This window comes from Homo sapiens, chromosome 8 (genome assembly GCF_000001405.40).
Source record: "Homo sapiens chromosome 8, GRCh38.p14 Primary Assembly".
Lineage (NCBI taxonomy): Eukaryota > Metazoa > Chordata > Mammalia > Primates > Hominidae > Homo > Homo sapiens.
The window spans coordinates 84,148,392-84,166,450 of record NC_000008.11 but is presented as its reverse complement, the minus strand read 5'-3'; the positions used below and the strand labels follow the sequence as shown (position 1 = coordinate 84,166,450).

Sequence of the window (18,059 nt, the reverse complement as noted above, 5' to 3'; positions counted from 1 at the left end):
AAAACAATTCAGAGTCATAAAGACATCAGTGGCAGCTCTATTTTGTTGGTACATAGAGTAGCAATCCTCATTATTTTTATTTTCCATTGGAGAGGGCTGTTCAAATGCATGCAGCTCTCCCCAGGGTTACCATGTTGCTAGTTGTAAGTGCAGCTTTATTCTTCCTATCAAGAAACCATATTGCCACACAAATGAGTCAAACAGACACTGTTTTATGGATATGTTAGAAAATAATTTATTAAACTTGTAAATCACATATATATTTCAAGTCTTTGTAAGTAGTAACAAATTGTCTGTAACCTCGAAAAGTGTATTATATCAAAGCCTGACTACACAGCAATTAAGAACAGCTGCATAAATAAACAATATTGCATTTTGATCATTAGGTTTTCCTTAAAGTGCTATTATATTGATTCTATAATCACTCTTCTCTCATGGTAACCATGATGCTTTCCACATTAATGATTCCTTTAAAATTCATTTTTTGGTAGTGTTGACAGGCCTTGAGAGATCTCTTCTGAAGCCTTTTGTTGCTCCAGAATGTGCCAGAGTGCTAATAAAAATTGAGAATATTGGTGTGTTCAAGATGTTTTATTTATATGCACTTCTATTGTGTGTCAGGCTTTTGCCAAGCACTTGAACAACAATAATGAAAAGAACACTGACTATTTGGCTTTTACTTTTTTAAAAAAACTGTCTGATGATATAGATTATATGTACTATGTAGAGGAATGATAGAGTCTGAAGAGTACTTACAACAAATCATTACGACCTCAGGTTAGAGGACAGTTTTGAGGAGGCAAAGTTGTAGACAGTGAAAATTCGAATAGCTCAAGTGACAGCTGATAAAGAGTGAAACTAGACTGGAGTTAAAAATTTGTAGAAATAATAGGAAGAAGTTCCTTTGAACATCTCAGGAAGTAGAATGAACAGGACTTAATTATTGTGTAGGAGGGAGAATGAGAGATGTAGAAGAGACTAGAATGACTTTGATGACTGGTGAGTTGGCTGGGTAGACAGTAGTGGTATTAATGGAGATTAGGAAAACAGGAGTAGCTGATTTAGTAAGGGAAAGATGGTGGATTCAATTTTGGAATGTCTGGGTTAAGGCACCTGTGGAATTCAATTATTTATGCTCATCAGGCAGTTGGAGTCTTTACTTCAGGGTAAGAGTCAGGATCAAGGAACAGATTTGGGAGCCAGCAGCTTCAGGCAGTAATGTAAGACAAGAAAATAGATAAACTCCTTCAAATAGCATGTAGAATGAACAGCACAGGGATTGTGGATTTTTAGAAAATCAACATTTGAGGGGTGGGCACAGCATAACCTGAAACAATACATACGATCAGAAATTCTCAGTGCTTGAGAAATGAATAGAGCTAAGATTTTCACAAGGGGAGTAGTTAAGCTGACCGTGGTGGCACTTGCGTCCCAGCCACTTGGGAGACTTGGGAGGCTGAAGCAGGAGGATTGCTTGAGCCCAGGATTTTGATACCATTCCAGGCAACATAGCAAGACCTCCAACTCTTAAGAAAAAAAAAAAAGTGAGTCAACTACACAGCACCCAGATCTTGATTTCTAACACTATTCTTTAATAAAAGGAACCAGAGATCATTGTAGAAATCTGGGTCAGGAAATACACAAGATGATCCTGGAGCACCTTGTAGTGCCTGAAAATAAGACACTGCTCAAAAAAAAAAACAAAAACAAACAGAAAAACAAATAGTCTGATTTAAAAATGGGAAAATGAGCTTAATAAACATCTCTCAAAAGAATAGATAAATGCACAACACCACTGATAAGGAAGAGGCAGGAATGGAAGTGTGAGCAGCAGCTGAATGGTCACCATGGCTGGGACCACCACCATCAAAGCGATAAAGCTGGAGACCCCAGCTCTGCAGCAACAGGCTGATGATGCTGAGGAGAGAGCCAAGTGCTTCCAGTGAGAAGTGTAGGGAGAAAGGCAGTCCCAGGAATAGGCTGAGGCTGAGAAGCCTCCTTGAACCTTAGGGTCCAACTGGTTGAAGATGAGCAGGATCACACTCAGGAGTGTGTGGCCACTGCCCTGCAAAAGCTGGAAGAAGTGGGAAAAGCTTCTGATAAGAGTAAGAAAGGTATAGGCCAGGCACAGTGCTCATGCCTGTAATCCCAACACTTTGGGAGGCCGAGGCGGGCAGATCACCTGAGGTCAGGGGTTCGAGACCAGCCTGACCAACCTGGAGTAACTCCGTCTCTACTAAATATACAAAGTTAGCCAGGTATGGTGGCACATGCCTATAATCCCAGCTACTTGGGAGTCTGAGCCAGGAGAATCACTTGAATCCGGGAGGCGGAGGTTGTGGTGAGCCGAGATCAAGCCATTGTACTCCAGCCTGGACAACAAGAGAGAAACTCCATCTCAAAAAAAAAAAAAAAAAAAAAAAAAAGTAAGAAAGGTATAAAGGTTATTGAAAACTGGGCATTAAAAGATGAAGGAAAGGCAAGGCATGGTGGCTCACGCCTGTAATCACAGCACTTTGGAAGGCCAAGGCCAGCAGATCACTTGAGCCCAGGAGTTCGAGGCCAGCCCAGGCAACATGGGAAACCCCCATCTCTATTAAAAAATACCAAAAAAAAAAAAAAATAGTTGTCCTTGTGGCACACGCTTGTAGTCCAAGCTACTTGGGAGGCTGAGGTCAGTGGGTCACCTCAGCAGAGGAAGTCGAGGCTGCAGTAGGCTGAGATCATGCCACTGCTCTCCAACCTAGGCATTGGAATGAGACCCTATCTCAAAAAAAAAAAAAAAAAAAAAAAAGAGAGAGAGAGAGGGAAGAAAGAAAAACAGAAAGAGGAAGAAAAGAAGACGAAGGAAAGATGGAACTCCGGGAAATCCAACTCAAAGAAGCTAAGCATATTGAAGAAAAGGCAGATAGGAAGTGTGAAGAAGTGGTTTATATATTGGTAATTATTGAAGGAGACTTGGAATCCACAGAGAAAGGAGCTGAGCTGGCAGAATCCTGTTGTTTTAGAGTACTATACGGTGAATATAACAACAAGTTATTATATGTTGTTGTTTGGGTAACTTCTCCTGGAATCACCTTTCTGGTTTGTCTGGTACTTTGTGCAGAACAATGAGGTTTCCTGTGGTGGAGTCTTTCCCGGAGCTCTGGTTCTCAGTAAGGTAGGCCCATATAGTCTTCCCTCCTTTATGGTGAGGGTAATATGCATTAAGCTGAAAAGCCACCTTCCAAAAGTGAGGAAAGAATTACATTGCTGTTTCAAAGCTGTAGAATTATCTGGAATAGTTTACAAACAGTTGCTGCAAAACAACAAAAAAAAGTAATTACGAAGTGTAGGGCAGGGTGACATGGCTCACACTTGTAATCACGGCAGTTTGAGAGGCAAGGGGGGCAGATGGCTTGAGCTCAGGAGTTTGAGATCAGCCTGGGCAACATGGCGAGACTCTGTCTCAACAAAAAATACAAAAATTAGCCAGGTATGGTGGAGCACGCCTGTAGTCTCAGCTACTTGGAAGGCTGAGGTGGGAGGATCACCTGACCATGGGAAGTTTAGGCTGCAGTGAGCAGCGATTGCAACCCTGCACTGCAGTCTAGGCATTTCAGTGAGACCCTGTCTCAAAAAACAAACAAACAAACAAACACACAAAACCACCACCAACAACAAAAAACAACAACAAAAAAAGAAAAACCAAAGTGTTTACATCACAACATGCTATTAAAGACATCTTGCATTGTTCTTGCATTCCGTTCAATGTTGTTCCTATAGGTGCTTAGCTTCTAATGCCGCTGGAATCTCTGGAACCAGGCAGAGACAGTTTGGTGAAAAAGACACAGATGGGTGGAGGGGTGGTGAAAGGAGAAAGCAGCCTTCCAGTTAAAGATCAGCCCTCAGTTTCAATGTCAGCTTGGGAAAGCCTGGCCTCCAAAGGAGTCAGCGGCAGAGGGAAGAGCAGCGGCAGGGTTGGACCAGGGTGCTCCACATTTCCTTCAAGCAGAGTCTAGTCCAGCATCCTTTGTATACAGAGGTGCTTCTCTTTGGTGCATTTCAGTTTATCTTCCAAATCATCAATTGTCTTTTCCAGCTTGGCTGCTCATTTCTCAGCAAAACCTGCATGAAATGCTGGCTCCTTGAGTTTATCAGTAAGAATCTTGATCTCTTCCTCTTATTTGGCTTCTTTTTGAGAGTGCTTTTCTTCGGCAACACACAGACATTTCAGGTTCTGGTCCATCATTCTGATTGGCTCATCCACCTTTAGGCAACAGGACTCTGCCAGCTCAGCTCCTTTCTCTGTGGATTCCAAGTCTCCTTCAATAATTATGAGTCCTGTTGCCTAAAGGTGGATGAGCCAATCAGAATGATGGACCAGGTTTTCAGCTTTAAGGTGTCTTTGGGTAACTTTATTTATATTTTTTTACTTTCTTCATTAGAAGTGAGCAAATTAAGATGGTGAGACCTCTGAGACAAATTTTTGTCCTATCTCTACCCGCTTTCCAACAGCTCACACAATGGGTCATGTGCCCCTTATGTTAAGGTGAAGTAGAGATTAGAACAGTGGTTAGTGAGGCAGGGAAGGATAGGGGAAAAGGGGGAATAGCCAAAGATTGGTTAATGGATGGGACGGTACAGCTAGGTAGGAGAAATAAGTTTTAGTGTTATGTTTTCAAATAGCTGGAAAAGGAGATTTTGAATGTTTCCAACACAAAGAAATGATCAATATTTGAGGTGAGGTGATGGATATGCTAATCACCCTGATTTGATCTTTACACATTGTATACATGTATCAAAATATCACACTCACCTCATAAATATGTACAATTATTATATGTCAACTAAAAATAATAATAAAAGCAAAAATAAATGACAAGTCACAGACTGGGAGAAAATATTTGCAAATCACATGTGTGATGAAGGATTTATATCTGGAATATATGAAGAAGTCTTAAAACTCAACAATAAGAAAACAAACAGCTCAATTTTAAAAACGGGGAAAATAAATATAGAATACTTCACCAAGGAATATAAAAAATGGCAAGTATGCATGAAAATATGTTCAACATCATTGGTCATTAAGGAAAAGGCAAAGGACAAAACGATGAGGTGCCACTACATAAATATTAGAATATTTAAAAGAAAAAAGCAAACTGATAATACAAAATTCTGTTAAGGATTTGGAACAAGGGTACTGTCCTCTACTGCTGATAGGAATGCAAAAATGATACAGCTCCTTAGGAAGACAGTTTCCTAGTTTTTAATAATATTAATCATAGACTAGCTCCTAGATATTAACTCAACTTATATGAAAACTTATGTTAACCCAAAAACCTGTATGTGAAGGTTTATGGCAGCTTTATTCATAATTACTAAAAATTGGAAGAAACCAAGATGTCCTTCAATAAGTGAATGGATAAACACACCGTGTTATATATCATGGGAGAAGTCTTCAGCCAGAGAAATGGAAAACACTATTCATCCACACAATAACATGGATTAATCTAAAATACATCTTGCTAAGTGAGAAAAACAGAGAGTAGAAATGCTATATATTGAATATATAGCACTCATAAGACATTCTGGAGAAAGCAAAAATAGAGGGATGAAAAATCAGATCAGTGGTTTTTAGGAATTAAGAAAGGAAGATTTCCTAGGGAAAACGTAGGATATTCTTTACAGTGATGGAACTAACCCATATGGTAGTGGAGTCATGAATATATGACTCTGCATTTATCAAAACCCACAGAACCTACAGCACAAACAGTAAAACTTTATATATGAAAATTTCATAAAAATCAACCAGGAAGTCAAGGATACAGGGAGTAAAATAGAGATTGTGACAATGCTTAACGATTTACTTCCAAAGAGCAGGGTACGGCAAGGGGGAATAAAAGTATCTTTAAAATGGTAAAACCTGGCAGTCACCACCTTAAGCAAGTGATCAAAGTTAACATCACCAAAAATAGGACAAATACATTTTTCTGTGCCTTAAATTTGTCTATGCTTTTTGATATACTGAGAAGGACACAACATCACTTCTATTCATGGCCAAAATATGTAATATAAATTCAAGCATGAGATAACATCAGGAAAAAAAATAAAATTGAAGGACATTCTAGAAAATAATTGGATTATACTCCTCAATACAGTCAAGATCCTGAGAGCAAAGACAAATCTGGAACTGTTTAAGACTAAAGAGAAGATATGATAACTAAATAAAGTATGTGATACTGGACTAGATTTTGAACCAGAATAAATTGATCTATAAAAGGTATTATTGGGACAATTAGAATTTGAATGTGATCTGCAGATTGGAGTTGAGGCATTAGTACTTTTTATAGTTCACCAGTAGATTTCCATGTGCAACCAAGTTTGAGAACTAGTAGAGTCCCTCCCTTGGTTTTCATTTAGATTAACTGCTGGCCCAGTTAGACCAGGTAGTTTCTAACTCCACATAAATTGTATCAGGATTTCTAGGAAGCTCTGAAGACAGAGAGATTATAAAAATGTAATACTATAAACCCAACATTGGCATGCTTTGATGGTAATTAATAAGAATGATTATGTAACTACATTAATGTAGCTGCAGTTGACTTGAATGGTAGAAATAATCTTCCTTCCTAATCACTAACACACACACACACACAGACACACACACACAGCATTGAAGAGATCAAGTCAATGTGACACAAAAGTCAATTGAAAGGCTCCCAATGGCTAAAGGTGAAATAAAATTGAGCAAGAAAATAAAATTATGTTGGAATATAACCCAAAATATAAGATAAATATACATAAGTCCATACTAATATAACTAAATGATTTAATATATAAATAGTAGGAGAATGAACAAATCTCTCAAATAATTTAAGTAATTTTTTTTATGTAGATACCTTACCCTTAAGGATGGGGAACATAAATCCCACTACAAATATGTATATTCTTCTCCCAACAATACTTATCTATTCTTTTCATATCTCAACTATAGATTAATTCAGGTCAACTGGAAAATGTGATCTCATCTGCAATAACAAATCTGAGATGGTCTCTAGCAGAACAATTTCTTATAACTTATAAGGCATAGAGATAAATCAAAGTGATTGAGAATGCTTACAGCCTCAGAATTGTCCCACCCTTGAGACTTGGTATGTAGCAGAGATTAACTTCTAACCTTATATACAGTAATTCTTCCTGAATATCTTGGACAATATCTTTTTAGCTATAATCTCTCCCTTGAGATCACACTTATCTTTTAAGAAGTGATTATTTTATGAGAATAAATACAGGAAGCTGAGGTCAGCTATATATCTTCTAAGATATTTAACTAGAACAAGGGTCTTGATATCGTGTGATATGGAAACCCTGAGAAACAGGCAAAATGTGATGTAAGCATTATTTTACCTCCTTTACTTTCCCTCTTAGTGCTTTTATAGATCAGTTTCTTTTTATGCCTGCCCATGTGAGTAATCAAAACCTTTCATGGAACCTTAGCACTCAGATCTACATTTCCTCAGCTGGCCTCATATATTATACCATCTTTCTCCATCAACAGCAAAAGTATCTTTCTTTGGTACCATTCCTACGTAATTTTTTCTTTGAGATGGAGTCTCACTCTGTTGCCCAGACTGTGGTACAATCTAAGTTCACTGCAACCACTATCTCCTTGGTTCAAGTGATTCTCCTGCCTCAGCCTCCTAAGTAGCTGGAATTGCAGGCATGCACCACCATGCCCACCTGATTTTTTTGCATTTTTAGTAGATGTGGTGTTTCACCATGTTGGCCAGACTGGTCTCAAACTCCTGACCACAAATGATCCACCCGCCTCATCCTCCCAAATGGCTGGGATTACAGGTGTGGGCCATAATGCCTCCTTCATACTTTTTAATTTTGCTATGGTGTTACTAGCTTCTTGCTAGCAAACATATCCTTTGATTTAGCAAGAAAATTCTACAAATAGCATCATAACCAAAAGGGATAATTCTAAAGGTAGGAATTTGGGGTTATTAGTCATTGAATAAGGGTGATAATTTCATGTATGTGCCAAAATTTTTCAACTCTACGTTAGAGCAAACAAATGGCTTCTAGAAGGATTGCTGGGGTGCCTATGTGAATCACATACATGAGATGTCTATCATAAAAATTATATTCATAGATGTGTATTTTTGTATGTATGAACAAACTTCCTGCTCACTAAATAGAGTTATTGAATGACTTTAAGACAATTATTAAAAACCAAAAGCAATGGAATTCTCCTCTTAATATTGTTAGTATCACACAGAGATATATTGAAATTATTGGTAACATTTGCCGTAGATAATGTTAATCATTTAAATAATTTTGTGGTTATTAAATAACTTGTGGATATCAAGTTATTTAATGGATAATTATCCCCATTTGCAACGTTTGCTCACATTTCATATATTATAATTCTACATCAACAAAACCAATGCAGCAGTATGCTATGCACATAATATTGAAATTGCAGGTAATTTAGTCAATGGAGCACAAGCGCTAAGCATAAAGTATACACTATATGCCGTTAGAACCCACAAGTTCAAAGCCAATTCTAGGTAACTAGCTCATCCAGGATAAAAGGCACTTGTGTTAATTAGAAGGATAAAGGGTAAGTGGCTGTAGCAAAAAGATACATAAAAAAATGCAGTGGCTTAAATAAGATGAAAGTTTACTTTCCTTTCATATAAGAGTTAGGCACGTCTAGGTTGGTGGGCATGTCTGCTTTACATCATTGTGAAACCCAGTAGATTTCTCTTTCTCTATTTAGTCCACCCATTCATCAGCATTGTCCTAGTCTGGCTCTAAGCTTTGTCCCTGACACTTCTGTATTCCAGCTCAGAGGAAGAGAAAGAGAAAAGAAGACGTCCTGGGCAAGCAATTTCCTTTTAAGCATGTGAGGCGGAAATCATACACATTCTTTGTGCTTACATCCCAGTAGAGAAAACCTGATCACACAGCCACAAGGTAGAGGTGTAAATGCTGAACTTTTTTCTAAACTTTGTTTTATAAGGTGAAAAGCTGATCCAAAGCCTTTGGCTTAAGGAATTATTGCAGTGCCTATCCCGTTTTTTTTTTTTTTTCTAGAAATTAAATAAAATAATTTCTCCTTATGCAAGGCATGTAGTGATCATTCACTAAATATTAGGCTTCTTTCTTTCTCCAGATGATTCCATCAAGCCAAGTGATCTAGGATTTGTTCGGCAAATTGATGATTGGTGATATTTTCTGGAGATACAAAGACTCAAAGTCCCTTTGAGCACAAAGAGAACGATGCCTATAAGTAAGTCAGGATTGATAAGCAAGGGCTTCACTGCACAATGCAATAAATTTCTGCTAAAAAATAATTATTCCATCCTATGTGAAACCTGGTTATAGTCTCCAAATTGGAGAGGAATTTGATTTGGTATTCAAAGATCATGGAATGTGACAGATTATTGCTAGGTGATATGGTCTAGAAAGCATGATACTAGTACTGAGCAAATGTATTTGCAGAAAATTCAAGAAAAACACAAAACATAAGAGGAGATCTCTCTTCTTGGGTAGAATAGTTAGACTGATTTATTATGGAAAGTCTTAGACTGTAACTATTTTGTATTTTGACAAACATCAATTCTAATTGAAGATTCATACAAAGTACTCAGTGCTTTTCTCTAAGGGATTCCACCTACTTGTGAAGATCTTCAAGAATATTATTTGTTGAATCAATGAAAGGTATTCATTTTCTGGGTTTATTTCCCCTCCTTATGCTAAATTGTTATGCCAGGGCACAGGAGAATGATGATTCAAAATCTATACCTACATCCACAGGAATTTGCAATACTTACACATTTTACCATCATGTCCTAAATACAATTCAGTATGCAAGGCATATTCAAAACCCAGTCCAAATGCTAAAAATAAATTCCTGTCAGCAATTTATTTCCTATCACACCATCAGTGTTTTCTCTCTTTTGTCAACAAACTATTTTAGCACATGACATTTTCTGTATCATTTATGTGAAGTTTAGTCTGTAATATTTATCCTTATGTCTTGTCTCCTCATCTAAGTGATGAATTAGTTGCCAAGCAGGGATGTGGCTTATGCTTCTTTTTCTAGACAGCACATGCAGATTTTAAGCCATAAGTACTTTATAGACTCTGAAGGGAACTTTTCAAACATGCAACCATTTTTTTAAATTATATTTTTCCCTATTATGTCTTAGACAAATATGTATTTGCTTGAATTTAGGGAAATGAATTAGAAAAAGTTACACAATATCAATCAAAAAATTAACATGGTTAAACATAAAATGCCTTAAAATACCCATCTGCAGGAGGTTTCCATCCAGAGATGTTCTAAAATGTGTTGATAATTATCTTGCAGATTCCATAAATCTCTTCAAACTGCCAGAGAATGAAAAGCCAGGTAAGGTAAGTGATAATCTGGGAAATTAATGTTTCTGACAAGTCATGAGAACCAGAAAAAGTTATTAAATGCTAACATTTCCCATATAATGATAATGGTTAACACTGGTGTAATGCTTGCTATGCCCAAGCACTGTCCCTAAAACAAGTACTGAAGGGTAAATGATAAATATCCCCACTTTGGAGATGAGAAAGCTGAGGCACAGAGAAGTCAAGTCACTTCTCCCAGGATTCAAAGTCAAAATTTCAACTGAGTCATTCTAGTTTAAATTCTACCTTAATTTAAGGAAGAATCTACTCTGGCTAACACCCTTATATGCAACCTGTGTAATGTCGTAGTGCTAATGCTGACTACTATTTGTTGAACGTTACTATCCTATGACAGGCACACGAATGTTAATATTTGAGGATTCATGGGTGTTGGTGCTCTCAGTACTTCCTGTGGCACTCCTCCTAGCTTCCAGGTCTTTTATTTCATAGATTTGGTTAATACTGAAAGTGGAAACAAAAGGCAATAAATAAGGTTAAGGTAAAATTGATTAATTTGACAAAAGACTCCAGGATAAGAAGAATAAATTCAGAAAGCAAAAAGGAGGAGTGGGACTGTGGGATGAGAAGCCAACAGGAAATGGAGAGGAGTTGGCAGTTGAGAATTTAGGAGATAGTTTAGAGATGGAGGGCCAGGGTGCTATACTCTTTTCCTTTAGGGCTTCTAGACCAAAGTGCAGCCCCCAGACTTTGCACCTAAGGAGGTATCATGCTTAAAAAAACTTCATTTATCAGAGGCACAAAATATTATTAAGGTAAAATGAAATATGCAGAATAATATTGACTGTATCTATAATATTTCAACTAATTATTTTGGATAAGACAGGGTAGTTCTGGATTCTAATAGCTCAGGATTGCCATATGTTAAAAAGTCCTGGAAAATGTTGCACATTCACCTGGTGCTTGCTTGACATTTTCTCTACTATTACTTAAGTGCTCGTAGATTTATCACTTATCCTATGTAAAAGAAATGCTCTCTTTTCTGATTTGAATTTCACCTTTGCCTCTTACATGTTTCATAACTGCATTTGTCTCAATGTGACATATTGCAATAAGCTTGTTGCTAATAAAATTGACACATTTTCTGTTGTGAGTCTGCAAACAAGTAGAAAAGCCCTCCTCTTCAACATTTGTTTCATTGTCCAGTGCTATAAAAAAATGCTCATGGTCCTGGCTATTATAGAAATCCTTAGGAAGATGATAAAAAGGAGAACAATTTCTAGGAATGCAGTTACTATTGCCTAAAGATTTCAAAAGAAAATATGGCTGGAAGAGGTGTTCTATGTTTAGTCAATAAAATTACAATGGTTAAGTTTAACATGATCAGAAAATGAATTATTTTTCTCATTTATTCTTCATTCCATGGTTAAGATTGCATTCTGTGGAGACAGGAAGCACAACAATAACTTTTGGGAGAGTTATTGGAAGCCAATATACCAAGACACCATGATGGATGATCCAGAATCATGGGTAAAGATGTAACCAGTGTTAAGTAAATGGTATCAGGGAATTGTAGAGATAAGAAGGTCCATACTACTTCATTATGAATAGGTTCCAAAGAGCCATGACATTGTAAGTAATAATGGTGTTATTAACTTTTTCTTGTGGGGATAAATATAAAATTCTCTAGTAATAATACATTTGAAAGTAAAGAACAGGAAGAGATGGTTTCTGGACATAAAAAGATGCCTGGAGGATCTTTGCATGCCTTAACTGAACAGTAAACAATTATGTAATCCTTGCTTTTCCATCTGCTAGTCTAAATTGTTATTGATATATAGTAATACCTCATGTAGGGCCATGAGTTTTGTGTTACTTATTTTAATTAAAATGTTTACATTGGCAGAGACCCACCAGAAGTATTTCTCCAGGGCCCTGACTACCCTTCAGGGTGCACTGCCCTCTGGAATATTTAGAGAGATAAAGGATTTTAGGAAGTTTTTGTTGCATATCATAAAAGGACTTTCCTTTTGGTGCCTCTTCAAGAAATTTTATTCATGATTTAAATAATTTTTCTGTATGTCAGATTGATATATCCTGTACAAACCACACCAAATTTACAAATGAGAAAGTTCAGAGGAAAAAAAGATTTTCTAGAGATTGCTCAGCACTAAAGAATGAAGCTAAGGTTTTTGTCAAGATTTATCTGATTCTAAAAGTCATTGTCTCCACCACACTGAACACACCTTATTCTTCTTCTGATGAGTAATTCAGGCTGCCCAATTTTGGTGGAAGTGAGCTTTTGCTTTACTATGATACCAAAACAATCTCGAATTAATTTGATTGCTTACATGTTATTCACTAATAGAGAATAAAATCACTAGGATCGTTAGGTCAGATATTTTCAGCAGTTGTCTTGTAAATCAATGAGCATTTGTTGCTGTTGGTTTGATTGGGCTCACATATTCTCTAGAGTCCTGCCATCATCTTGCAATGACATAATTAAGTTTCTCTGTGCAAATATTGAGGATTCGGGTCTGGACACATTTCTCTTATGTTAGGTTTCTGAGTCCTCAGGCAACTCTGACTATATAGACATCTATTGATCTTTCTTTTAGGCAGCTTGACAGTATAGCCATCTATTGTCTTTTCTATTTATCTAATTTATCTAAAATTATCTTAATTTTAACATAGCCAGGACCTGCCCATATATGATTGGATAAATATGTGTTGAATAAATAAAAGAATGAATGAATAAATAAATCAGTCAAGTTACATAACTATCTGAATAATTTTAGGTCAATATTCTAACACATGGTAGAGATCATATAGATTATACAGATCTCTACTATGGTTTATAGATTAGATAGATTATATAGATCTCTACTATGTTTTATTTATAAAAATATTTAAAGTTTTAAGTATTTCCTTATTCTTAATAAGTGCTTCAAAATTGATAAAATAAAGCAAAATTAAAAAGTCATGCAATCTAATATAAATTTTGCTAGAAAAGAAATAGATTTTTTAAAAAATTGAAATAGTTTTATTTCAGAGAATCCAGATTCTGGGTCATGCATTCTGGCTTTCATTTGGTAATGAATCATTTTACTTTTCAAAGGTATTGGTGGTAAGTCTGGGAGCAAGGCTAAAACCCTAGTTGATCCAGAGCTCAGGCTGATCAATGAGAAAACACAATTAGCTTCCAGCAATGTGAACATTGTTTCTACCAGTATTGATTATCTAATTTATAATTTAAAAAAATAATGTCTTTTTCTTATTAAAGGTTGTATTTCTTCTAGTATTAGGAGGGGAGTGGAGTAGAATGAATAAGCTCTACACAAGGGTTTACACTTAGAAGTTGGTCAAATAAAACACATGCTCTCCTTAGTATGGATCTCTTTAGGTCAAGGCTGTTTTTATCCACACTGGTGAAATTGTGAGACAGCTTATCACGGTCTACAGTTAATATTCTCAGGTGCTTTAAAAACATTATATCTTATTATAATGCATTCAATATAGGAAATAGAATTATGATTATCACCCATTAGTCACTCAAAGAAAAATGTTCAATGAATGAATTGATTAAATGATGGATAAAACATTTTGCAACTGGCTTCATAGCAGTCACTTTATTGATTTCTTTGTACTATGCAACCTTTAAATATTAATTATCCAGGATGCTTAGGTAGATGCCTAATTAAAATGATAAAACTGTTCTATCATTTTGCTTTTTAATTACTTGGAATTATTTTGATACAATTCCTATCTCACTTTGTATATTTCTTCATATATTATGAAGGCCAAATTTATATTCAAGAAGTTGAAAATAATTTCTGGCTAATGACTAGAGACAGTATTCCTGCTACACCAAATATTGGTTCTAAATGATTTATTTACCTGATTTAATGCCATCCTGATAACAGATATGTACTTTCTCAGTTAACTGCTGTTGGGGGAAGTGTATTAGAGAAACATGTTTTCCTGACTCAAAAATTTCTCCACAAAAGTAACAAATAAAGAACACAGTTTTATGATTAAATAAGCATTAAACCAAAATGTGATATGCATCATAGGCAATCTGCTAAGAGGTTGCAAAGACAGAAAGAAACCTAACTGTTTTATATAGGCAAGCCCTCAAGTAAGAAGACTTGAGAGCACCATTTTGTCACACACAGTTCATCCTAGATTCACCTGACAATTGAGATAATCATCTATGTTACCTAATGAGTTTTATCCAGAGGAAAAACAAACTTCTCAAATCTTTATGAAAAAGGTAGCTTTGCAAGAGCAAGGTGCCCACCAAAGTTAAACTTGGCTGATAGGGATGCTATCTCCCTTGATATATACATTTCAAAGAGAATGCTCCCGGGTTCTTGAGAAAGACATTCCTGGGTCATAAAGCTGACAAAAAGCCTGTCTAGTTTCAAAAGGATTTATATACATTTCAAATAGAGTGGAAAGTACTTACAACTTTTCTAAAGTATGTTCTCTAAGAAAAAGGAGGGGAGGGAAATATATTTCCTCATTTTCAACAGGGAGATGAAGCTTATTTTATTTTATTATTTTATTATTTTATTTTATTTTATTTTTGAGATGGAGTCTCGCTCTGTCACCCAGGCTGGAGTGCAGTGGCCTAATCTCGGCTCACTGCAAGCTCCACCTCCCGGGTTAACGCCATTCTCCTGCCTCAGCCTCCCAAGTAGCTGGGACTACAGGCACCCGCCACCACGCCCGGCTAACTTTTTGTATTTTTAGTAGAGACGGGGCTTCACCATGTTAGCCAGGACGGTCTGGATCTCCTGACCTCGTGATCCGCCCGCCTCGGCCTCCCAAAGTGCTGGGATTACAGGCGTGAGCCACCGCGCCTGGCTTCTTATTTATTTTTTAAAAAATAATTAGGTTGTTTTTTGCAGGGACATGTATGAAGCTGGAAACCATCATTCTCAGCAAACTAACACAGGAACAGAAAACCAAACACCGCATGTTCTCTCTCATAAGTGGGAGTTGAACAATGAGAACACATGGACATAGGGAGGGGAACATCATACACCGGGGCCTGTCAGGGGGTGGGGGACTAGGGGAGGGATAGCATTAGGAGAAATACCTAATGTAGACGACGGGTTGACGGGTGCAGCAAACCATCATGGCACATGTGTACCTATGTAACAAACCTGCACGTTCTGCACATGTATCCCAAGAACTTTAGGTTCTGGGATAATAATTAGGTTTATTGAGGTATAATTTGCATAAAATAAAGTTCACTCATCTTTAATTGTACAGTTCAATGAATTTTGACAGTGTATATATTCAGGTAACCATCATTACAATGAAGATGTGGACTATTTCTATCAATCCAAGTAGACGCCTCTGCAATCCCCCCCACTTCCGCTATCCCCACTTAGCCTGCCTGGCGGTTTTGCCTGTTTTAGGTCTTTTTTTTTTTTTTCTCCAGCTGTATTGAGATATAATTAACAAATAAAAATTGAATATATTTAGAGTGTACAACCTGATGTTTTGATATAAGTATGCATTGTGAAACAATCACCACAGTTAAGCTAATTATCTATTTATTATCTCACATAGCTACCTTTGTGTGTGTTTGTGTCTGTGTTAAGCTTCTTCTTTTTCATGTATTTGTTGTTACAATTTTATTTGTCTTTACACTGGTCATATGTTGTGTTCTTTCAGAATTACCTTGCAGATGGCTATAAGTTTGGAAAATAATGAATGCTATCATTTCTCTATTGGAATTTCCTCATTTCTCAGTTTATTTCCTATTTAATACCTACTGGTATTTAATTAGAATGCTTGGTAGCTTTGAAAGTAATAATAAGCTGTTGATTTGGGGTTAATTTGATTACTTTCTCTGAACCATACTTTTTAAACTTAGAATGCGTATATTTAATGTGAGATCCCAGTTTCTTCAATCTTTTTTCAATTGATTTAAATTATATTACAATATTATTCTTACTTTCTAAATTTTCAGATACATTGCATGTTTTTATAATGTACATGATGTTTTGAAGTATGTATACATTGTGGAATGACAAAAATCTAGGTAATTAATACATGCATTACCTCACATAGTTCTCATTTTTGTGGTGAGAACACGACATCCACTCTATTAGTATTTGTCAACACTACAGTATATTGTTACTAACTACAGTCACCATGTTGTATAATAGATGTCTTGACCTTATTCCTCCTACCTAAAATTTTGCATTCTTTGACCAGCATCTCCTCAAACCCTCCTCTCCAACTGCCAGGGCCTCTGGTAAATACTTTTCTACCTTCTATTTCTATGAGATTAACTTCCTTAGATTCCCCATGTGAAAGAGATCACATGGTATTTGTCTTTCTGTACCAGGCTTATTTCAATTAACATAAAAAAACTCCAGATTCATCTGTGTTGTTACAATAAGATTTTCTTCTTTTTATGGCTGAATAGTATGCCACTGTGTATATATACAACAATTTTTCTTCATTCATTGATGGACACTTAGGTTGATTCCATATCTTGGCTATCGTGAATAGCAATGCAATAAATAAATGGGAGTGCAGATATTTCTTTACCATACTGATTTCATTTCTGTTGGATATATACCCAGAAGTGGGATTGCTGGATCATATGGTAATTCTACTTTTAAGGAACCCCTGTATTGGTTTTCATAATAGCCATGCTAATTGATATTCCTACCAGCACTGTGCAGGCATTCCCTTTCCTTCATATCCTCACATCTTCACGTTTTTGTTTGTCTTTTTACACCTAGCCATTCTAATAGGTAATATCTCATTGCAATTTTAATTTGCATTTCCCTAATGATTAGTGATGTTGAGCATTTTTTAATATACCTATTGGCCATTTGGATGTCTTCTTTTGAAAAATGTCTATTCAGGTCCTTTGCCCATTTTTAAATTGGGTTATTTGTTTTCTTGCTTTTGAGTTGAGTCCTTTATATGGTTTGGATATTAACCCCTTATCAGATGCATAGTTTGCAAATATTTTCTTTCATTCTGTAGATTGTCTCTTCACCTTGCTAATTGTTTCCTTTGCTGTATAGAAGCTTTTCAGTTTGATATACTCACATTTATCTATTTTTGCTTTTGTTGCCTATGCTTTGGGACCATATAAAAAATGATTGACCTGATCAATATCAATCTTAAAAATGAAATTTTAAATGGCTAATATGAATATAGCAATTGCTTAGGCATGATTCTAAGCACTTTACATCTAGTAACACATTTAATCTACAAGGTATATAATATTATTATCATTCTTTTTGTTTTTACAGAAAAAAAACAGACACAGAGGGTTTGTCATTTTTCTAAGCTCACTTAGCTAGCTAGCAGCAGCACTAGAAATCTGATCTGAGCTCTACTTTTTAACAACTACTACACTACACCCACTTCGTACGCTGAAGTGATGAAAAGGTATATTAGATAATCCACTTTGTGCAATGTTCAGCATATATTTAGCACTCAGTGAATGCTAGCCATTGTTGCTGTTTTGTGGTTGTTGCTGTTGTCATTCTAAAACTGCCTTCTTCAGACTTTCAGGCCAGTTTTCACCCATTTTCTCCACTAATTAAAAAAAAAACAACTTTTATGCAATCTGCTCTACTGGCAATATTAACACATAAATGTGGAATCTTAGGGTTGAGATG

At 36.2% G+C, this 18,059-nt stretch overlaps 2 pseudogenes; one reads left to right on the top strand and one right to left on the bottom strand.

Annotated features, from left to right (window-relative positions):
- The first annotated feature begins 1,847 nt into the window (after positions 1 to 1,847).
- Positions 1,848 to 16,119, top strand: LOC101929943 (tropomyosin alpha-3 chain-like; annotated as a pseudogene).
- Positions 3,785 to 4,315, bottom strand: TPM3P3 (tropomyosin 3 pseudogene 3; annotated as a pseudogene).
- Positions 16,120 to 18,059: the final 1,940 nt, after the last annotated feature.